Genomic DNA, 24,318 nt, shown 5'->3' on the forward strand with positions numbered 1-24,318 from the left:
GGTAAATGCTAGATAAATGGTAGTCATTTTACTTTTTATTGGTAATATAGTTACATTGCTTTTTATTGCAAAAATATTATAAACAAGAATGTTTTCATTATTTGACTATTATATAGGGTATTTCCTGAACAAATACTTCTTAAAATTAGCTGTCTTCTCCCTTTAAATTTTCAGAAATGAAATCAAATGTGAAAATAACATTTCTGTTAACCCACATGTAACATTTACAAATTGTTCTGTCTTATCTATTTTCTAAATTTTTTTAAACTATAAGAAGTGCTTGCAAAAGAAGGTTAAATTTGTACACTTAACACATAAAACCCAACAGATGCTGCTGTAAAGGGTCTCAGATGTAACACTGACATATTCTTGTGGTGTCTTTGCATTTTCTCTGTGGGATCCTGCACAATCCTGCACATTCTGAATCATCTGTTGGCTTCTGAGTATACACTCCATGATCAAATACAGATAGAAGTAGTGTTCTTCCATGTTTAGGGCCATGAATTTAAAACAGATTTTGGACATTCAATTTTCCTTCCTATCATAGATTCCTTCATAACATAGAACTGAACATTTGAGTTCCTCCATAAGACCATATATTATGAAGTGTCAATCCCCCACCCTTGGGAGGTGATGATTACTTTCCAAAGTATTTATCTATAAGCATGGATAATAATTTATAGAAGTATGGGCCAGGCACGGTGGCTCATGCCTGTAATCCCAGCATTTTGGGAGGCCGAGGTGGGTGGATCACCTGAGGTCAGGAGTTCGAGACCAACCTAGCCAATATGGTGAAACTCTGTCTCTACTAAAGATACAAAAACTAGCTGGGTGTAGTGGCGCGCACCTGTAGTCCCAGCTACTCAGCAGGAGAATTGCTTGAACCTGGGAGGTGGAGGTTGCAGGGAGCCAATATCATGCCACTGCACTCCAGCCTAGGTGACAGAGCGAGACTCCGTCTCAAAAAAAAAAAAAAAAAAAAAAAACCCAAAAAAACCCACAAAGTATGATACCACTACTTCTTGTTACTTTCTTTTTCCAAGCATGTTTTATTCATTAGGGCATGAAATAAAAGCTAGATAAACATTTATTTATAAGTAGCCTAATGTCAGATGACATCTTGCCTTTCTGTTTTACCTGCCACCATCCAAACCTCAATGGCATGCTCCATGAATAAACTCTACATTTTTAAAACACTGACTTCACAGCTCAGTACAATGTGATTCATAATAATAAAAGAGTACACTTTTGTTTTGAATACCTTTTTACAATGATAGACATCTTAATCAAAGATGCAAATAAAACAGCCAAATATACTTCTAAGCATCTCGGATAAAGCGTGTGGTCAAAAGAGACTTTGCTGGAAAGGACAGTCACGTTTTACAATTTGGCACCAGCTCCGGGGTTCTAACTTTTGAAGCTTTTGCAAGAGTTTGAAGTCAGAGAAAGAAAGAAAAAAATACGTTAAGGAAAGAGGACTATGATTTAACGTAAAGAAAGCAGTTGTTACTAATTTAACCCACGAGTTGTATGTCTGCCATTACCAGTTTGTCTTTCTGTCGTTCACCATGGATGAGAAAGCCGCTTCGTCCATTGCCTTCGGGGTGCATGACCTTACAGACCCCGACGCGACTGATCCCGCCTCCTTCCTGTGGGAACCATCCCCCGCTGGAGTCATCTCTGGTCATAACCACAGCCTTGACACGCACAATATAGCTGTCACTAAAACGACAAGAAGAAGAAGCACAGGGCATGACAATGGTCTGGTAGTTGCAGAACACGTTTCAAAATGCAAGATGACCACCAGCCAGCACTTTTTTTGTTTTATCGAAAGAAATCTATGCTTGGCGGCAACCTTAAAAAGTGGTCCATCTCAACTTTTAGGGAAAAAACAAAACACTTAAACTCAATATAAAAGTACATTTTAAAAAAGATAAGTAATTAAAAATTACTTGTGATCGAAAGATGTATACAGGCACAATATTCTCCAGTTTCTAGGTGTAAGTACTGATAAATGAATTGATTTCTGTAATTCAGTATCTTTAGGTTGGAAAGACACACACCTATTTTGGTTTTTAGTTGTTGTTTTTTTTTTTTTTTTTTTTTGAGACGGAGTTTCGCTCTTGTTGCCCAGGCTGGAGTGTAATGGCGCGATGTCGGCTCACTGCAACCTCCGCCTCCCGGGTTCAAGCGATTCTGATTCAGCCTCCCAAGTAGCTGGGATTATAGGCACCTGCCACCATGCCTGGCTAGTTTTTTGTATTTTTAGTAGAGATGGGGTTTCACCATGTTGGCACGCTGGTCTGGAACTCCTGACATCAGGTGATTTACCCATGTTGGCATCCCAAAGCACTGGGATTACAGGCGGGAGCCACCACGCCCAGACTACAAACCTATTAAGACGGTATTATGGTTTCAACCCTTTAAAATGAGTTGAAAATGAATGACCAAGTTTTAACATTTTATAAAGCCAAGAATCTCATTTAGCATAAAATAGGATAATCTACTTGCAAATCATAAATTCACCATGAAATCACGTATCTAGGTAGGAAAATATTTCAATTCCAATAACCCTTTACATATTTGTAGACTTCTGTTTATGATTTTATTTCTTCCAGTCTAAAACCTCAATTTCACAATAAGTTCTTCTGCACATTTGCCAAAAATCCTTTTTCTCCCCCAGAGACCAATTCTAGCTTCTTTTCATTCTTCATCACTTTTGGGGGAAATTTATTTGGATTTTTGGCAAGGCCATTACATTCTCACTTGCTGTTTTCTTTCTTTGGATAGAATTCATTTTTACTCATTCAAACATATATTTGCGTGTTGTATATGCCAGGCGTTATAACAGATTCTCAGGAAACAAAGTTGCAGAGTAACAAAGAACCCCCATTATTCCCTGGGCCTCAGGGAAGACGCCCTCACCCTGGGCACTCAGAACCTGGTCCCCACAATTGGCCAGAGACGTGGAGGCAGTCCCTGTGCCCCACAGCCCTGCTCACCTCACTCACCGCTAAAGGCAAAGCCACCAGATTTTCTATGACCCCCTATGGCTCACCCTCCACTGCCACCCAACTGATCTCCCTTGGCCCCCCCAACCCAAGATCTACCATTCCCTTTACTTCCTCATCCCCTTCTCTGATCATTCCTTTCATTTTTTTTTTCATTGCGGTAAAATATGAATGGCATAAAATTTCCCGCTTTAACCATTTTTAAGTATACAAGTTCAGTGGCATTAATTACACCCACACTGTTGGGCAACCATCACCCCTTTCTACCTCTAGAACTTTTCGTCATTCCAAACTGAAACTCTGTACCTATGAAAAACACTAACTCCCCCTTCTCCACTTCCTCGACCCCTCAGCCCCTGGCACCCACCATTCTACTGTCTTGTCTCTATGAATCTGATACTCTAGGTACCTCATATAAGTTCCTTTCCCTTTCCTAACCTAAATTAAAATGCACTCTTGGCTGGGCCTCTGTGGCCCATTCTCCCAGGGCTGCTTTCTATCTCCCCACTGCACCCTGCTGGGCCTAGATGTGGGTATGGTGCTTGCCACTGCTGCAGACTATTCAGCCTCCCTCCAGTGCTTCTGAAGCTCACACCCTGACCCCTCTCACAACCCTTCTTCAGTCTTCTACAGACCTCACTTCCCTTCATTCCTTGAAGACTTCAGCAACCAGGCTCACTGACTCTCCATCTCTCCACCATGATCCCTGGCCCGATTCTTGATAATTTCATTATTGACATGGAGGATTCCTCCAATTCCCTGGCCTCTCAGTGTCTGGGCCTGTTTCCTTCCAATGCCCTTGTCTTACAACCAACTTTAGCCATTCATGCCCAGGTCAACCGTGAATCTCGTCATTACCAATATCTGCACCACCTCCATAACTCAATTGTAAGCATCCTGCTCTCCGACCACCTCGTAAGTTTGCAGCTCTCTCCCTCCAGACTCCAATAATTCTTTACCCTGTTGGGGCCAACAATCTATTGTTCTGACCACTTTTGCCCTCCCCCAAACCCCATGTCCTCAACTGATTCTCTACTCCTCCCCTTGCTTGTTGCCATTGCCTGGCATGACCCCAGTGGAGTTAAATCCTACCATCTACCTACTCTGTAACCCCACCCAGGCTGCTGAACATAGTGAGAGGGAAAAACCCCACTCTACTATGCTCATAGGACTAGTTTTAAAGCCATAAACACTACTCTCAAGTGAATCCTTAAGTGCCACCTGGCATCCTGCTACATTTCCCTGATCTGTCCCCCAAAGACAACTTCACATGGCCTCCTACCCCCTCACTCTCAGATGATGGATGAAGTTGCTTTAGTTTCACTGAGAAAATAGACAAAATCACAGGAGACCTTTCGCCTGTGCCCACCACCATGCCTACGCTTTGTACCAGCACTCTCTCCGCCCTTCCTCCTGTAACTGTGGTTAAGCCATCCATGATTCAAGCTAGGGCCAACTTCCTCCACTTAAAAACCTTCTACATACCAACAGTGCCCAAATTCACATTTCCATCCAGGTCTCTTCTGTGAGATTCAGGCCAGTAGAACCAAGGGCCTATGTGAGGTCTCTACATAGGCATCGAATACGTATCACAATCAACATGTTTCAGGTTGAACTCTCTTGGTTCCTGACACCTCCTCATCCTTCTAGTTCTCTCTTCAAAATATATCCAGGATCCACTTTTTCCACTTCTACTGACACTGACCTGATCCAGCTGCCATCACCTTCCATTGAGATTGCTGCAGTAGCCTTCTAACTGGCATCCTTGCTTCCACGTTTGCCCAACTTAACCCAGAAAATAGAAAGGTAAGTCAGATCATTCTACTGAAACAAACCCTCCAGTGGTATCGCCAAGCAGAAGTCAAAATCTGGACCTTACCCTATTACTCTCCTTGCTCATTCCACTTTGGTCCCACTGGCCTCCATATTAAGCATCCTTCTACCTCAGGGCCTTTGCACTTGCTGTTTCTTCTGTTCAAATCCTACTCCTCACATACCAACTGAGTTCATTCTCTTATTTCACTTAAGTCTCTGTCCAAGGTTATTTCAGAGAGGACTTCCCTGCCCACTCTATATAAAGCAGCATAGCACCCTCCACCCCTCTTAAATCTTCTCCCCTCTGCTTTGGCTTTCTATATGCTACTAAATCAATGCTTGCTCAATAAAATATCTGCTTGCCTACCAGAATATGAATTCCACAGGAGCAGAAACTTTGCCTTTTTTGTTCACTGCTATATCCCTAGAGCCTAGAATGGTGTCTTATATGTAACAGGTTGCGGAATGAATGGGGTTAAATTCACAATATAAACAGGTTTAAAAAAAATTATCTATAGCAGGCTGGAAGCGGTGGCTCATGCCTGTAATCCCAGCACTTTGGGAGGCTGAAGTGGGCGGATAACCTGAGGTCAGGAGTTCAAGACCAGCCTGGCCAACATGGTGAAACCCCGTCTCCATTAAAAGTACAAAAAATTAGCTGGGCTTGATGGTGGGCGCCTGTAATCCCAGTTACTCGGGAGGATGAGGCAGGAGAATAGCTTGAACCCCAGAGGCAGAGCTGAGATCGCGCCACTGCACTCCACCCTGGGCAACAAGAGCAAAACTCCGTCTAAAAAAAAAAAAAATCTATGGCTAACAGAATTCCTATAAAAACATATAGTGTTCAATACTTATTTACTTATGAACCACAATTACTAAATTGGGATCACAGTACTTTCTATTCCTAAAAATTGAAAAATCATGTAGAAGTACATATAAAAGTCATAGGACATACATGTACATATATGACTAATCCAACTATTTCAGGATTCAACATGCATATTCCCTTAGATTAAGAACCTTCTGGGCTGGGCGCAGTGGCTCACGCCTGTAATCCCAGCACTTCGGGAGGCTGAGGCGGCCGGATCATGAGGTCAAGAAATTAAGGCCATTCTGGCCAACATGGTGAAACCCCGTCTCTACTAAAAGTACAAAAATTAGCTGGGCGTGGCGGTGCTTTCGCCTGTAATCCCAGCTACTCAGGAGGCTGAGGCAGGAGAATTGCTTGAACCCAGGAGGTGGAGGTTGCAGTGAGCAGAGAATGCAGTGAGCAGAGATCAGCCTGGCGACACAGCAAGACTCTGTCTCAAAAAAAAAAAAAAAAAAAAAAGAATCTTCTGTAACATTTATTTAGATTAACTGCATACAACTTTGGAGAATATCCTTTCCCCCACTCCAACCCCATTTATTTAAAAACAAACAAACAAACAAAAAAACCTAAGGGTCCTACGACTTTTAATTCTCTAGTGTGCAACACAGCTTTCTCAAATCTTCTATAAGTATACTATGGGTTCATCTCAACAGGAGATGGCTAAGGTGAAGAATTGAAACTCTGTGCACCTCTTGTTAAAACATGCTTTCACTTTTTTTGTGTTGCAGTTATGTGCTGTTCTGTTTCTTTGAGGGGATTAAGTAAACATGAAAAAGAGAAGTTTGCATTACTTATGTTAGTGCCATAAACTTATTTCCAAAAAGTACCCATTTGTTAGAGAATTTAAAAATACCATACCCTTCTGTGTCCAGACTACAAGGCTGTTAACTCTGGCCTTTGCTTGCACTCTGAGGCCTCCTCCTTCCTGCCTCGATGCCTCCTATCAAGTGCCTTCTCCAGGGTATAGACTTCTCTGTGATGGGATTGGGGGAAGGGGAGGCTCAGGGGCAGAAGCCCCCTTTGTCTCCTCCGGCAACAGCCCCGACAGCCAGCATTAACTGAGGCATCTGGCTATTTAAAACAAGGCAGGGGGATAAAGTGCTGGACTAAAAGCTGCAAAGGATGTCTGGATAATCCAGCTGCATGGCTGCGTGCCAACTGCTTCCTATCCATGGTGTATTTACGTTACTCAGGCACTTCACCCCACCCAGCACAGAAATGACAATGAACTCCACTACCAAAAAGGTATAAAGGAGGAAAACTCTCTTCCCACCTTCCCTCCCCCTCTTTCTGGAAAGAATTAAACAACATCTGTTTAAAACAGATGCAGGGTTTGTTAGTGGTGGGGGGATGGGGCAGGAAGGGCAAGGGCAGATTAGTTTTAAAAATTTGCACAAGGAAACTGCTGCTGGTATGCCTTAGAAAAAAATGTCAAAACATGCTATCTTTGTCAAAAATAACAACATTTTAAAAGAATGCTTCTGAAATTAACAACTGCTGTAATGGTGTGGATCTAGTGAAGCTCCAGCCAAGGGTCCAAACCCCAACTGAATGGAGCCCGAGTGTCTGAACTTGAGCTGAACAGCCCCAACAATGTTATTACAAATGGTGTTGGACGACCAGCCCTCAATACCATATTCTTTAGTTGTGTTATGAGCAAAACTGGCTGGACTGAGGATCTCCCATTTAAATGTGGCTTCTTTAAGGAAAAAGCCTTGTGTTCCCAACATGTGGACTTTTTGTAAAAACAGGGCTTCCTGTCCCGGGATCACGCAATATGCAAAAGAGGCAGGTGACATTGTAAGTCAGGATAGGAAGGCAGAGAAAAAAATCTTTCAAAACTGGATTAGCATCTCCACAGGAAAGTTTTAGACCTCAGCCTTTATGTTCTAAGTGTTCTCCAGTTTCAAAGCAGGCCCCGTCTGGGCCACGTTACAGACATAAACCAAGGAAGTGTAGGAGATGACGGCGAGGCAGCACTGGGTCTCACAAAGAATGTGTGCTCTAGGGCCAGGCGGCCCTGAAGTCCCCAGCCCTCTCAGGAGCTGAAGAAACCTCTTTTTAAGCTTCAGTTTCCTCCTTTGCAAAATGAATAGGGGATCTACCCTGCTGGCTGAAAGTAGTGTTACAGGTCGTGTCAGATCCAGAAGTTTGGTAAGTTGTAACCATCATCATTTTTGCTGAAAGGCTACCTCAGTGACAAAAACAGGTCCTTGAAACACCAGCTTCCCTGGCCACTGAGGAGTGGGTTTCGACTGCCTGCCCTTTCCAGCTATCAGAGAGTGGAGGGGCAGGGAAGCTGTCAGGCTCTTGACAGTAGGAGGAAATTTGACATGGACCTCCAGCAATTGTCAAGAGAAGTCAGGTTTATAAAGACCAGGTTTAGTCGTCCACTGCAGGCATACCTGTAGAAGAAAATAATGCTGTCCGCCATCTGTGAACTGGCCCTCTGCTCCTGCCCCTCCCCATTTCTTTCAGGGATGGAGACTGGGACTTTTACCTCCCCCATAAATACTTCCTACAGCCAGCCCTTATCTGATTACACGGCTCCTTTATCTCTCCATTATGCTCAACATTAGATTCACTTCCTCCCAGCCTCTTCTCCACTTCACCAGACCTTGAGAGGGATTAGCCAAGATCCCAGCCTCTCCAGCCCAACTCCCAGACGCCAGCTGAGCCAAATATAACACCAACTTCTTGCAGGGAGCCAGGCACACTCACTTTATTTTAATCACATCCCCCGCCCCCGGTCTTCCTTGTGCTTATAGATTTATAAAGGCTCTTTGATTTCATCGAATTATATGTTTAAAATATTATATATGTGTGTATGAAGTATATGTGAATATAAAATACATATGACTAGTGATCTTTTTAAAAAGAATCAACAAAATGCTTCAGTAGAATCAAATGTGTTGAGAAGCTGAGGGTACTGGTCATACTTTCTATTTGTTAAGTCGGGTGGTGGTTTTGTGGGTGTTCGTCTTAAGTATCAACTACTCAAGAATTTTTTAAAAGCGGACTGCCCTGGTTTTGGAAGTTTATATATTCTGAACTTTATGGGCAAGGAAAGTTAACATAACGTAATTTTATGCATGGTGGTAACATGATTTTCTGCTCTGTACAAGCCCCTGAAGGTAGAACACTTGCTCTACACGCTATAATGTCCCAGAAAATAAGGCCTTTGTGTTAACCACCAAAATATGTACTGTTTGTGTGGTTAGGGTAGGCCATTACAGAAAACAGTGTTAACGAAAGCTCATAAATGCCCACAGTAGAAAGACTCGATCGCAAAGATGCCAGATCTGGCAGTAGCCAATTCTGGCAAAGGCCATCAGCTCTTCTCTCAAACATGGATGAGCAGGCACTGTGAGGCAGAGAAGAGATTTTCTGATCATTAAACGTTTGTTTCATAAAGAGAACCAGTTTGCATGATGTAAGATGTACAGAAGGTGAAAAGTGGGCTAAGATCACTTAACAACAGGCTTCTCCACAGTTATTTAACATCAGTGAAATCAGCCAACAAATACACTCAATGGAGAGTACTAGTAAAAGAACCCGTGTACTTAAACAGGGACTAACACTTTCCTGTGAGCTCACAGTGCCAGGGCACTATGCTCTATGTTTATCAAGAGGAGAAAACAGGCTCTTCCGTCCAGTCTTCACTGTGTCCCTGCTTTTCTGAGGTGCTGTAGCTAATCTTGCTCGTGCAGAGTAACCCCTACCCTTAGAGGACTACAACATAGCTTTGGTTTTTTGTTGTTTTGTTTTTGAGACGGAGTTTCACCCTTGTCATCCAGGCTGGAGTGCAGTGGCGCGATCTCAGCTCACTGCAACCTCTGCCTCCCAGATTTGAGCAATTCTCCTGCCTCAGCCTCTCGAGTAGCTGGGATTACAGGCGTGCTCCAACACGCCCAGCTAATTTTTGTATTTTTAGTTGAGACGGGGTTTCAGCATGTTGACCAGGCTGGTCTCAAACTCCTGGCCTCAAATGATCCACCTGCCTCAGCATCCCAAAGTGCTGGGATTACAGGCGTGAGCCACCAGGCCCAGCCAGCTTTGATTTTTAAAAATATGTTATCTTCATTATCAATTTATGTATTTTTTAAATGGTATGGAATGAGTTTTAGGAATAGAACCCTTATACAAAACACGGTACCTAAAAGGTGTGTGTAGGAGGTGGCGGTGGTAGTCTTTGCTTTACAATGACTGGGGATATGACCTTCATCCAGGAACCAATTAAGCTAAAAGCCAGGGGTCCTGCTTATGTGCAGGAGCCTCAGAGGGGGTATAAATAGGTTTTCCTTCACTCTGTTGGGCTCAGAATCTATGAGTAAAGCCAGTAAGTACTGCTGTCCTGCAAGGTCACTAGCGCCCTCTGTGTCCAAGTTCTACCCTCTCCCAAAGAGGGAGGTAAGGGGCATGTCCCTCCTCATGCCTTGGATAAGCCGAGCATCTTTGTTGTTCATGCTACCTAGCTACACTGAAGCATATAAATAAACCTCTCACCCACACACTATTTTCCAGTGCACATATTAAAAGAGGCCGTTTCCTCCATTATCATGGAAGACACTGGTCAGCATATAAATGATTATTAAACTTAATAATTTATCAATCATTCTTCAGAACCAGTATTAACAAGTCAAAGTTTGCTAGACTTGGACCTCTAGTATTTTAGTTTTCCTATTGAAATTTTAATACAGAAATACTCCTTTAAAAATAAGCTGTGAATCCCTATTTTTATAAGTGAGCAATTTTGGTTCGAAATATATGCCCATACCTTGTTTAACATACAGTGCTGATTTAGCATTCTATGTGCCTCTATACTTTCCTTTAAACCTCAGTTTAAAGGAAAATATTATAGATTTAATATTTAGATAATATAGATTTAACTTATCACTGATGTTAAATCCTAATTTAAATATAAATATTTCCCCATCGCTGAGTGCTACCTTACACCTCCAGGTCACTAGAGCCAGAGCAGCATGTATACTGCACATTCTGGCACATTATCTTGCACCTGCCTTGCAGACATCCTTGGGAGTGGAATGGATGCTCTGCCCAGCTGTCCTTAGTCAAGGGTACAAGGCAGTGTGCCATGCACCAGTCTGGCCTCCTTTCTTTCCTGCTGTGTCCTGTGACCCACAAGGGCCAAAAAAAAGGAAATGAAGCAAAGACACAAAGGAACAAAGATCAGAGCTGGAAGTTAAACACGTAAGCTTTACAGAGGCTTAGGAGCCTTTGAGGAAGTAGTTGGGAAAATACCGGCAGGCAATTAGGGATCCTCTGACATCCCCCGAGCCTGGGAGCCCTGAGTGACAGTTCTGGTAAGCTTGAAAAACCTACTGTGGCAGATGGAAGTTGGAGCTTCTAGTGCCCCCATCATCTTCTCAGAGAAAGCCCCAATTTTAGCGGCAAATCTATATGGACTGTAAATAGAAGGTGGTGATACCCACGGCATTAGCAATGCCCAGGCACACTGGAAGTTACCTCATAAAATGCTGGTTTTCTGGTTTCCATTTCAGCAAGGTTGACAAAGTTACATTAGACTCACTGCATTGTACTGTGTTTAAACGCAATTTTAAATTTCACCTCTAAGTGTTTATCTCCTGTAGCTTGAACACGTATAAATCCTGCACAGGAAAAGAGTGATTTGGCTAGATTCTATCTACAGTGCTCTCATGAAAAAAAAAAAAATCTTAATAGAAACTTTTTGATTTTATCAATACTTATTTAATCTATCAAAAATGTCTTAAGGATACCACTATATTTGTTGGTTTTTTTTTTTAAATCTTTTCAGCATTTTAATTCAGTACTCAAATTTATAAACCACAAGAATACTAAATATATACAAGATGACAGACCACGTGTAATTGGGACACAATAAAGGTTAAGGTTGTTCAACCTAAAACCCTAACATGGGGCAGTTTTAAACATGGGCAACGAAGTGTTCGCTGAAGTAAATCTTAGCTTCAGCACACAGGCAGCCAATTTTAGAAGTAATGTCTAAGACAGATTTTTAAAAAATGGCTCCTGGGCAATTTTCTCTTGTCAATATGTTCTTCTTGTGCAAGTACCTCTTGAGGTGAGTAATGCACCTGGCCCAGGAGAAGGAAAGCCCAGCAGAGGGCTGAGGTCAGGCCTGGGGGGACTGGCAGGACAGGCATGGTAGTTTAGTAATTAGATTATAATCAGCGAAGAATGGAACAACTTTTTCTTGAAGTTTGAAAACTCTTTGCTCTAATCCTTACTAATAGCAGAAATCCTAATTTTCTCATCCTGGGGGACCAGGGAACTGGAGACTCCTGGGCATATGCCTCTTAAATCCTTGGTGGGTTTCCTAGTCAACCAGTTAGGGGCCTCTGTATCAGTCACGTATCTGTGCAGCAGATAAATCACCTTAAAGAAGGCTCTACAATTAATTTAGGAAATTATGGGAAGATTTTACTGTGAAAGATTGTTGACATTCAAGGCATGTGTCAGAGGTAGTTCTGAGTTTTTTTCAAAAACCACGAAAACACGAATGGCTCTGACATGAGTAAACTACTTTAAAAAATAAAATTTATGGCCAAGTGTGGTTGCTCATGTTTGTAATCCTAGCACTTTGGGGGGACGAGGCAGGTGGATCACCCAAGGTCAGGAGTTTGAGACTAGCCTGGCTAACATGGAGAAAGCTCGTCTCCATCAAAAATACAAAAAAGTAGCCGGGCATGGTGGTGGACACCTGTAAACCCAGCTACTCAGGAGGCTGAGGTTCAAGAATCGCTTGAACCTAGGGGGCAGAGGTTGCAGTGAGGGAGTACTGGGAGTTGAGAGGCCAAAGTCTGAATCTAGGTTTATGATTTTGCTTTTATTGTCTGTCTGCTTTACTGAGTTGAGCCTGAACTTCTGGAGTTCATAATTAATCAAGATCAAAAGATTACCATCTTAAAGCAAACAAAATAACCCATCCCGAAGAAACGTTTCTTCTACTTTTTATTCCAGAAGCAGTAATTTTCTGACTTTCCCTCTGTTTTACACACCCTTCCAAAAATGGTATTTGTGATCCACATTTAAACCCCAAAGGCCAGCTAATGGAAATGTCAGATTACTAAACAAAATTAACTCTCACCACATTAAAGTGTACATGTAATAGAAAAATTGGTACTTCAAAAAACAAATGGCAAAGAGGAGTTGTTTAAAGTTAATAATCTCCAATTTAGGGCTTTAAATTGCAGCCCTTGAACTCCTATGCCTGACTTTCTCAGAATATTTTTGCTTTCTTTCACATTATTGGAGAAAACAAAGGAAGGGAGTATGTAATAACCCACCCGTTGAAATGTCTAGGAAGAAATGCCATGATATTTGCAACCTACTTTGAAATGCATTTAAAAAAACATGGAATCATGGATGGAGATAGATGGATAGATATGTGTATGATAAAACAATAATAGCAAAATGCTAATTGCAGACTTGAGGTGGTAGGCATATGGATGTTGAGCATACACTTCTTTCAACTTTTCTGAACACCTGAAAATCATAAATATTGGGAGAGTGAGAGATTTGTAGTGTTATGGTTGATTTCTAAATGGAAATCAACACTAAATCTACAAGATGCTGATAATGGTACTAAACAGAATCTGATTACTTTTCTTTCTGCTATTTAGAGTGCAGTTCCCCAGTTCCCTCTTTTTTTTTTTTTTTTTTTTTTGTGTGTGTGTACCTGCTATCTACCACCTGCCCTCTACCCCAAAGAAAACCTAATAAGAAGGTCAGGAAATGACTCTACCAAACTATGTTAATACCAAATTCTAAACCTACAAAATCCTTTACAAGCCAGCCCTTAATAAGACCTGTTCTCTGGCCGGGCGCGGTGGTTCATGCCTGTTATCCCAGCATTTTGGGAGGTTGAAGTGGGCAGATCACCTGAGGTCAGGAGTTCCAGACCAACCTGGCCAACATGGTGAAACCCCGTCTCTACTAAAAAAATACAAAAATTAGCTGGGTGTGATGGCGGGCACCTGTAATCCCAGCTACTTGGGAGGCTGAGGCAGGAGAATCGCTTGAACCCGAGAAGCGGAGTTAGAAGTGAGCTAAGATCACGCTACTGCACTCCAGCCTGGGCAACAGAATGAGTCTCTGTCTCAAAACACAAAACAAAACAAAAAACCTGCTCTCAAACAAAAGAAGGTGATAATTTAACCTATAGAGGAGGGAGGAAAATCAGCAGATCATGCTAGCAATAAGCTGACAGGATTTTTAAGAGCCTGTTTATATTCCCACAGGTCCACTAGAAATGGATGCCCTCTCAGATGGCAAGAATTACTAATGCATTTAGTTCCTTTTTTTCTAGGATTCTGCCACCTCCCTCATTAGAGATGGAGAGCTAAACACACAGATAAACAAACAACACACAGTCAAGGCACCTGTTCTCCCTGAAGCATGCTGGACGGCTTCACTTCCCTCCTGGAGAGTGGTATAGAGGTCAGCCCGAAGGCAGAGTTCAGGTCTTCACATTAGTTCCACCTCTTAAGCTATTCATACAAAGAACTGTGGAAACCGTCTATGCTAGACTCCTCTCTCACGTGGAAAAATTAAAATCCAGACTGCAGAAGGGACTTGTTCAAGGTCACTGACATTAGGGACAGATAAAGGACTAAGATCAGTCTCTGTGACAACCCCCGATCACACTTTTGAAAGGACCTCGTGTGGTGGCAGAAGTGCGCATATTCAAGTTAGGTGCTCTGGAGGATAAGTTATTCCTTATCTTGGTCCCTTGAAATTTACTGGATAGGCAACTGATTGTGAAAGGAATTCTAAGGAGAAATGAAGAGGTAACACTGGCAACACAGCTACATGAAAAAATCACAGAGCTAGAGGGTGATCCTACTCATCCTGCTGAAGTTTCACACCAATAGAGGTAATTCCTTTTTGGATCTGTTGTAATGAGTGCCGTAAGTCAGGACAGGTGACCTAACCTGACCTAACCTCCATTACACATCTTCTCACAACCGGGTGAGGCACCCCAAACTCTTATTACTGAGCTTCAGTTTCCTTATGTGTAAAATGAGGGGTAGAGACCACAAATGACTTTTGAGACCCTTTCAACTTTGATCCCTTTTCATGCTTTGTGTTTTAAAAAAATGGCCTTAAAGTCCTGTAGTTGTGGCAGAGGGCTTAGCAAACTTAAGCCACTAAAATACCCTACAAAAGCAGATCAGAAAACTTTCAGCAGTAAAATGCAACTGAGAGTATACTTTGAGTAGAGAAAAAACTTGAAACCACAAAGACCTGAAACCATGACAGACTAACAGATATGTTCTCTCAGTGCCAGTGTTATGACACAATTATGAAGTTTCCAGGAGTGAAACTGGTTTATCCAAGTATTTTGAAAAAGCAAGAAAATGATGAAAATTGAGTTTTAATAAGTTTAATAAGATCCTCTGGGGGAAAATAAAAGGTACAACCTGGTCATCTAGCTGGGTTTACGCATCCACAAATGTGAGATTCTCTTTAGCCACATGGAAGAAAAACCCCATGACATATTTATGGAACAAATGCAGGCCAAGAAGAGAAGAGAGATCTACCCTTTTTCTCCCAAACAGTTGATTCTATCTGCCTTATCAGTTGACTCAACATGAACTCCCCAGCCCCAATCTTTACTACATTCAGAGTGAAAAGGAGAAAATGTTAGGAAAAGGTAACAAAGCAATTATTTAGCTTAAAAATAGGGAAAGACATTTCTTATAGACCTCTGCTAAAGCAGCTCAGTGCACATCAAGTTGCAACTTAGGTTTAAGTTGCTTCAATGTGACAAATAATTTCTGGTCCAAACGTAAGTCAGTTGTTTGAAATTGGAATGTATCTTCCCTACAGAAAAAACATAAAATGGTGGGCAACTGGGTTCCCAATCCAGCCCACGAAAGCCCAATCAACGTGGAAAAATATTCCCAAATGTTTCAACTGCTTACTGACAGTCTCCTTGACAAGAAGCCTCTTTCCCCACTGCCAGAAAGGCCAGTTCCTCTCAGCTCTTGCTGGGTTTTGGCCAAGGGCTTTCCTATCTGGGGGTGGGGTGAGGGAGAAAAGGTAAGGAGGAGGAATTCTTCTTAAACTTCTGATTTAGGCTTCATTTTGGGGATCCTCAGAATGTGGCACCACTGAATCTTGAATGGCTCTAAAAGGATCCGTACTGATGTTATTTTACAAATCCCAACTTAAGTGTTACTGGGGAAATTCTTTCCTTTTAGGGTCACAATGACTGTTGGTGAGCAATTAAGTCAAGTGTCAGGCTCATAGGATATAGTCATGATGCAATGGATTCTTGACTAGTTGACTACACAGAGGGACAGGATTTGTCCTACAAGCGCAATTTCCTTCCGAGTTATAACAAGACAGAGCCATCCACTCAGTACACATATTTCCCATGTTACTTTCCTGACATAAAAGAACTAGGCAGCAAGGATAATGTAAAGGCCAACTAGCTACCAAGCTTCCTCAGTTTTAACACGTTAGTCTTAAAATATTTTTTCATTTATAAGGGAGTAGTGTAGTTTGAAGTACTTGATTCAGAAAGAACTCCAGGAAATACTAGAGCTATCTCCACCTCCCAAAGCCAACTAGCTTGTGGAGGCACTAGAAGGCATTTTTTTTCAAGACTCATGATTTTCACAGATAACTGAAACCCTGCGTGGCTAAGCTGCTGAAGTTGGGCTTTCCTGGCCATCACCAACATGTTTGCAGCAGGGAGCCCAACCAAGCTTTAAGTCATGCAGTCTGTGGTGGTTAAAGACCACTGCTGGCTGGGCGCAGTGACTCACGCTTGTAATCCCAGCACTGTGGGAGGCTGAGGCGGGTGGATCATGAGGTCAGGAGATCCAGACCATCCTGCCTAACACGGTGAAGCCCCGTCTCTACCAAAAATGCAAAAAATTGGGCCAGGTGCGGTGGCTCATGCCTGTAATCCCAGCACTTTGGGAGGCCAAGGAGGGTGGATTACCTGAGGTCAGGAGTTTAAGACCAGCCTGGCAAACATGGTGAAACTCCGTCTCTACTAAAAGTACAAAACTCAGCCTGGTGTGGTTCTGTGTGCCTGTAGTCCCAGCTACTCGGGAGCCTGGGGCAGGAGAATCGCTAGAACCCCGGAGGCGGAGGTTGCAGTGAGCCAAGGTCGCGTCACTGCACTCCAACCTGGGCGACAGAGCGAGACTCCATCTCAAAAAAAAAAAAAACAAAAAAAAACAAAAAAAAAACAAAAAAAAAAAAAACAAAGACCAAAAGACCACTGCTCAAGACAGGACAACCAAGTGGCTACTGCCAACTTCTTCCACCAGAGAGCTTTACTGACAGGTGGAAGGGCCCTCGACTTAATGTTGGTCAAAAGGAACAACTCTCTGCTCATTTCACTCACTGGTGTGCTTCAGCCACTTCTCAGGACTAACTTCACACAGTTTCATTCTCCAGGAAAGTCACAGTCACTGAAAGCATCCTGGATATGCCATCCCCTGAAAACTGCCGCACACCCAGCAGTGAGTTGCTGGCATATATGGAAGCTCTTGTGTTAACTTTTTCTTGTGTGTTCGCATATAGCGAATTAACCTTAACACCTGTGGTCCATACATACAATGGAATTATTCCGCCTTAACAAAGAAGGAAACATTGTCATATGCTATAACATGGATGAATCTTGAGGATATTGTGCTAAGTGAAACGTCAGTCACAAAAAGAAATACTGCATGATTTGTTCCGCTTACACCAGCTATCTAAATGTGACTAGTCAAAGTCCTAGAAACAAAAAGGAGAACAGTGGTTGCCAGAGGCGGGGGGCTGGGGAGGGGAGTGAGTTGTTTAATTGGGAAAGAGTTTCAGTTTTGGATGATGAAAACGTTCTAGAGATCTATTATACAAACTTGGATATAGTTAACACTACTGTACTGTTCACTTACAAATGGTTAAGATGATATACGCTATGTTATGTGTTTTTTACCACAATAAAAAAAGATAAACTGTGAAACAAAGAGAGGCTACTTGAAATAGGTAAAGAACCCCAAATTTAGAAATGTTGGGTTTAGCTTAGGAGCATTTCTGCAGTCCTTAAGAAGTAAACATTCACTTTGGGAGGCCAAAGCAGGAGGATTGCTTAAGCCCAGGAGTTTGAGACCAGCCTGTGCAACAATGTGGGACCTCATCTCTATTTTTATTAAAAAATTCTTTTAAAAGAAAAAAGGAGTAAACATTAACACTATTTAAAAAGTTAACTTTCCCCTAATTACAAAAGTAACATATGTCCCCATTATGCAAACTACATACATCACAACCCTCCCTTAAAAAGCATTCTTCTATACTATGAGGAGCAATTAATAAATATGCAAGACCTTCTCAAGAAAACTATAAAAGGAAGATCTTATGCTTCAAATGTAAGTGTAAATGTTGGCTTTGCTTTGTTCCTTGGGGTACCAGGTGAATCATATATAAGAAAAACACAAACATTTCCTTTGGTACTGGTTTTACTGAGACAAAAATGGCTTTTCTTACAAAATCATTTCAAAGAAGAACAGAAGAAAGTTAAACAAAATAGATTTTCCCTGAATTGTTAGCTCTGACAAATTCCTCTAATCCTTAGGCAGTTCTACTTTAATAGAAAGAACACTTACAATGTCTACAACACCAGCAACAGAATACACCAAAATATTTTTCATGATTAGTCCCTTTTCATCTCTTGTATTCTAACCTCAGTTGTAAAGATTAAACACACAGATTATTAAACACACACACATAATCACAAGAATTTCCTGACAGTTCCATTTCTTCTACATGGGGGTTAAGCGATGTTTTTTAATATTACTCAAAGCAGGGAAAAAGGGGCTGTTTTATTTTTCTTTGGAACAGGTTCCAGCCAGATTTTGCACATTGCAGTTCTCTGGCGACGTGATGAGAACACATGCCCACCCACAGACACTAATTTTGCTCTTCACCCCTCCCAAGCAGCCTTTATGACACATGCTGTCTGTGCTTCATTTAATGGAATTCAAGAGGCCCAGTCAAACAGCAGAGCCCCACAGGGCCAGGGCAACAACAGGCAACCCATCTCCTCCACTGGATGGGTACAGGGAACATGTGTTTAAAAGAAAACAACAACAACAAAAAAAGCCAAATCTAGCTTGGACATCTCCAATCTGAAGAATCTTTACAAATGAATGAATGAAGTCATCTCTTCGATTGAAATCAAGAAAGAGATAGTAATCTTGCTGTAGTTCTTATACACTGAACTCTATGAAGATGATGCAGCTAACTGTCTGAGCTGCTCTCAGATGTGCAGCAAAGAAGGTATCACTCTCATCCCAAGCCAAAAGCTCTAAGAGGGCTGAAGTGCCAGCCTGCTTCTGCAGCACTTGCTTTCTCTATGGTCATCATCTGTTTTTTTTTGTTTTTGTTTTTTTTGAGATGGAGTCTCACTCTGTCGCCCAGGCTGGAGTGCAGTGGCGCGATCTGGGCTCACTGCAAGCTCCGCCTCCCGGGTTCACGCCATTCTCCTGCCTCAGCCTCCCCAGTAGCTGCAACTACAGGCGCCCGACACCACGCCCAGCTAATTGTTTTGTATTTTTAGTAGAGATGGGATTTCACTGTGTTAGCCAGGATGGTCTCGATCTCCTGACCTGGTGATCCACCCACCTCAGCCTCCCAAAGTGTTGGGATTACAGGCGTAAGCCACTGCGCCCGGCCGTCACCTGTTATGAAGAAACCTTGGCAAATAAGAATCCAACTGGGTTGGGAGGCCAAGGTGGGTGGATAACCTGAGGTCAGGGGTTCGAGACCAGCCTGGCCATCATGGTGAAACTCCATCTCTACCAAAAATACAAAATTAGCCAGGCGTGGTGGTGCATGTCTGTAATCCTAGCTACTTGGGAGGCTGAGGCAGGAGAATCGCTTGAACCAGGGAGGTGAAGGTTGCAGTGAGCCAAGATCATGCCATTGCACTCCAGCCTGGGCAACAAGAGTGAAACTCCATTTCAAAAAAAAAAAGAAAAGAAAAGAAAAGAAAAAAACGGCTGGGCACGGTGGCTCATGCCTGTAAACCCAGCACTTTGGGAGGCCGAGGCGGGCGAGCAGGCCAGCCTGCTTCTGCAGCACTTGCTTTCTCTATGGTCATCATGTTTTGTTTTTTTTTTTTTTTTTTTTTTTTGAAAGGTTTGAGACCAGTCTGACCAAAGTGGAGAAAACCTGTCTCTACTAAAAATATAAAATTAGCTGGGTGTGGTGGCACATGCCTGTAATCCCAGCTACTCGGAGGCTGAGGCAGGAGAATCACTTGAACTTGGGAGGCGTAGGTTGCAGTGAGCCGAGATTGTGCCATTGCACTCCACCCTGGGCAATAAGAGCAAAACTCCGTCTCAAAAAAAAAAAAAAAAAAAAAAATTCCAACTGGGAATGCGCACGGTTTCCACAACTATGCCACATATAGCTCAAGACAATCCAGGTGCAGTTGACGCAACAAGCTGTCAGCAAACATGTACCCGGAAGAATGTTCAGGGTTCACAGAAGTCCATGCTGGTTTGATAAGAGGGTGATCATTCATCCCATTTGTACATTTAGGAGTTTATGTCGTTAGAAGGCTGATCCACGCTTGTCTCTGGCTTTTCTGAGCTACACAGGAATGTTGCTATTTCTAGATAATGATATAAGATTTACCTACAAGTGTTATTAATCCCACCCAGTATGGCAGAATGACCATAAACTCCAGATGTGGGGAGGACAATATCACAGCAGACAGTGAGCAATGGACAGCAGGCGATAGACAGGCCAAGCCTCCTGAGGCAGTGATCATCATGACCACACATCCATAAACCACACATCCGGACAGCAAGGACAGACTGCAGACTCTGTAACAAACAGGTCTCCCTCCAAATACAAATAAGGATGTTTAAATGTTGGTAGGTGATCTATACTAATTTTACATAAACCTGTTTTTATAAAATGTTTATTGAATTCGTAATAGCTTTGAGTCTTTAGAATATAATTTTAGTAAGTGCTAAAAATCTGCAAGCCAGCAAAGATTGGGAAAAATTGTTCCACTAAAATATCTTGGACACTCTTAACCTTTCAGGATTCAAATGCTCTCCCTGACTCTCACTCTCCCCAAGAAAAAGGAAAAACAAAAATCTTTTTTCCAAGGTTATGTCACTCTACTTGGCTCAGAAGACATGGCCACCAAAACTATCAAATGGATTTTTGAGTAGAGCAGTTCTTTCTTGATTTCCATCCAAGCAGAGTTAGGTTTTGAAGAACCAAAAAGGAATAGCTCAAAGCTGCTTATACACAATAGCAATGAGTGGCTCTGGATTGTAGACTCCAGTAAATCTATGAATAAAAGAAAACCCAGGGAGGAATTTATCTCCAATAACAATGAATCCCCACTAGGGCGGGAATTAAGAGAAGAACCGGACTGGGCTCAGATTTGAAACACTTTTAAATGTAACACTCCCCAGCACATTGCTCTGAACATAGGCAGCGTCTCACTCAATATCTATTGATTGCTTCCAAGTTGAATGATATGAGACCTTTGGAACTGGCCATGGCTCTGTATTCCTTTTCCCTCAAAAGGGAAAGAAGGCATCTAAAAACCACGTGGTTCCTTTGGACTGATGGCTCACAGTGCTTAACAGCAAAGGGGCCTCTGAGGCGTGGCAGCCACAACCCTAGGAGTGATTATCATTGTCCAATTTCAATGGTCAGTATACCCTCTGTGTACTGTAACCAAAGCTAACAGAATATGGTGCTCTGGAAAGAATGTGGACAGGACCTGAGCGAGTCCCAACTATACAAATCACAGAAAAACAAGACACAGAAAGTGTCACTAAATCAAGAACTTTAAAATAAATGTTTTTTTTATCCCTGACTATAATCATTTACCATAGGCCTCAAGGAAAAAAAAAATGCTACCATGAAACCTAATGTTTCCGTGAAAGCACAGGAAATTAGTTATTCTGTCTTTAAAATAAAACAAAATTAATGTATATTTTTCTAATGAATTTGATAAAGTGAACCCTAAGTTGAGTGTGGCATTCACCAAAACTATAAGAAAAAACCCCGTTTACTATAAGATGGCAAAATATGGGTCTTAGTTCAAGCTAACACTTTTAAAGTAGCCTTTCTTTCACAACTTAAAAAAATGTTGTTAATAAAAAATGGCCCTCACTTTGAATCTGAAGTATTTTTTAATGTCACCAAGTGCTATTATTAAATGTGTACTATATATGCATGTATACACACATAAAAATAAGCACTACAGATGTGGGCATGAAAATTCTTAGCAAAACCCCCACATATTTCAAATACTGTTCTTCTTCATTATTGTCCTCTACCATAATTAGCACGTTACAGCATAACAGGTGGCTTTCATTTATAGAATGCAAAATTAATGAAATTTAGAGATGGTCTTGTCTCCAAAAACAAATTGGCCATTCTATAAAAAGTACACCCCTTAATCTACAAAACAAACAGAAACAAACTCCCTTCATGCTGGTTTTCCAAATTATAGGAATTTCTGAATGTAGTTAAGTAAATTGAATGCATTTACTGACAGCTTAAAATTCATACACTTCAAGGAAAACAAGTCATTATTATGGATTTTATAAGAAAGGGGAAGAGAAACAAAGATTGCCGATTTTTCCAGCTTGGTAACCCCAGATCTGTTTAATGCTCTCTGAGTGATAACAGGATTTACTGCTATACACTGGGCTGCTCCACAAATGCTAAATCTTAGGCAAATTTGTGGGCAGTTGTGTTATAGGTCCTGACCTAGCCATTCTGGACAGACAGACCAGGAAAGCATAAATAGTACTGCTATAAACTAACTATAGCATCTGTCCCTAACAAGCAAGACTCACAAAGTATTTTTTTAAAATATGAGGAGACACTGAATAGACTGTCAACACACATAGGAATGTTTAATACACTCAAATAAATAAGATATGTGCTTTAACTAGTCAGACATTGTTTAAATTTAGTGGGTGAAGAAAGAGAGAGGGTCAGACAGGCAGACACAGCCTCCCAATTATGCAGAATGATCCTTCAGATCATGTGAACGCTATAATTAAATGTTGCTACCAAATCCCCACTACCCTTTCTCCCACCTAGAAAAAGTTAATGCATGAATTCAGTATGAGCAAATTGTGATTTATAAAAACAAACAAACAAACAAACAAACAAAACCCACCCTATTCACTCCGTAGGGGAATAAAGCTTTCTTGCATTAAGTCACGCATCATGGGGGTAGGAAAAAAGCACAGTACTGAAAGAAATCCAACGTAACACAATAGTAATTGTTAGACCACCTCCTTCAGCTCACCTCTGCTTATTCATTTGTTTTAAAGCTCTACACTACCCACCCAAGAGGTATACCATCTCTGCAAGCTGTTTCCTAGGCAGCATCTTTTAGATTCAGGACTTAATAATAAAAAACAACAACAACAACAACAAAACATTTCTATCAGAATATCTAAGGAGAAATTTGTTTTCAGAAAGAGGCATGAGAGGCTAAGAGCTCTGTGTCTATCAACAGACCAGAGGTTACCTATCTGTCCTTGCACGTGGGCACACACAAATACAAACACATACACACTGTGGTCCTCTACAACTAGGATAAATTTTCTCCTTTAAAAAAATGCTAAAAGCAGGCACCAGAAAGGTTAAGAATAAGAGAACAATGAAAAAATAAAGTTCATGTAAACAGTAAGCACGTACCTGCCAGGCGATGCCATTTCCTCTACATTGTGGAGCCCGAGTGCTGGGTATTAGCATTATTGCTACTATAAAGCTTCCGATAAAAATGGATCGTCTCTTGCTGACCTGAGAACCAGCTGGCTGCCTGAGAAGTGGTTTCCCCCATATATGATTCAGTCTCCTTGACAAATATACTGCATTGTACCGGATGAGTCATCCGAGGGTTAGTCCGCATTTTATAGGCCTGTTGTGTCATTACTCACATTCAACATCCTGCTTCTCAAAAGTGGAAACTGGAAGCCTGACAGCTGACAGATGCGTTTTCCAATTAAAATATTGTTTTAAAAATTCCTGTAAGTTATGATTACCAATCATTGATGAAAGGATGAAATGCCCAGGAAGCAAATGGCACAGTTCAATACCTGAGATTACATTCTGGAGAACCACAAGTGCAAATTCTTCACCTGCCCCCAGCCCCAAACCAAAGAATTTCGTCCAAAGTTGAGAGCAAGGATCCCTCTCTTTAAAGTTATCAGCTGAATTCGTGTAGGCATGGACTTGTTGATTCTTGTGCTGTGAGGTTACCCAGCTGCAGAAGCTATGTAAAAAGTATACATCAAAATTTTGGTCCTGGATTAATTTTATAGGTGGGATAGTGGCATTGTGTTTATAAAATGTCTACTTTTTTAGAGAGGCATGTTGAAGTATGTTAGGGGTAAAATGATATGATATCTGGGGTTTGTTGTGAATATTTTAGCAAAAAATAAATAAGGGACGGGGTAAAGAAATGTGGCAAAATCTTGATAAATGGTTGCATCTGTGTAGTGCGTATATGCAGGCTGACTGTATTTCTCTTTTTTGAAGTATCTTTGAAAATTTTCATAATAAAATGTTTTTAAAAATTAAAAAAAATTTTTTTTTCAG

General features: G+C 41.6%; 1 protein-coding gene across 8 annotated transcripts in view, besides 2 other annotated features; it reads right to left on the reverse strand.

The window, feature by feature from the left end:
• The window catches only part of SPRED2 (sprouty related EVH1 domain containing 2), a 125,425-nt gene that overhangs the window by 36,000 nt on the left and 65,107 nt on the right, over positions 1–24,318 (reverse strand). For 4 of the 8 annotated variants that reach the window (XM_005264202.6, XM_005264200.6, NM_181784.3 and 1 more), the window contains exon 2: positions 1,545–1,722. In XM_005264202.6, coding sequence (XP_005264259.1) covers positions 1,545–1,722 — 178 coding nt within the window. Of the gene's footprint in view, positions 1–1,544; positions 1,723–23,415; positions 23,605–24,318 lie in introns of those variants that run through there. The other 4 variants (XM_047443712.1, XM_047443710.1, NM_001128210.2 and 1 more) reach the window with 2 other exon arrangements.
• Positions 14,352–14,853: an enhancer, noted in NCBI's record as "NANOG hESC enhancer chr2:65584660-65585161 (GRCh37/hg19 assembly coordinates)". NCBI's record gives its function as "activates a minimal SCP1, AML or CMV promoter by ChIP-STARR-seq in primed H9 embryonic stem cells {active_cell/tissue: H9 hESC(primed)}" and the evidence as "EXISTENCE:reporter gene assay evidence [ECO:0000049][PMID:30033119]".
• Positions 14,886–15,035: an enhancer, noted in NCBI's record as "active region_15930". NCBI's record gives its function as "activates an Ori minimal core promoter by ATAC-STARR-seq in GM12878 lymphoblastoid cells {active_cell/tissue: GM12878}" and the evidence as "EXISTENCE:reporter gene assay evidence [ECO:0000049][PMID:35858748]".

This window comes from Homo sapiens, chromosome 2 (genome assembly GCF_000001405.40).
Source record: "Homo sapiens chromosome 2, GRCh38.p14 Primary Assembly".
NCBI classification, from domain to species: Eukaryota; Metazoa; Chordata; class Mammalia; order Primates; family Hominidae; genus Homo; species Homo sapiens.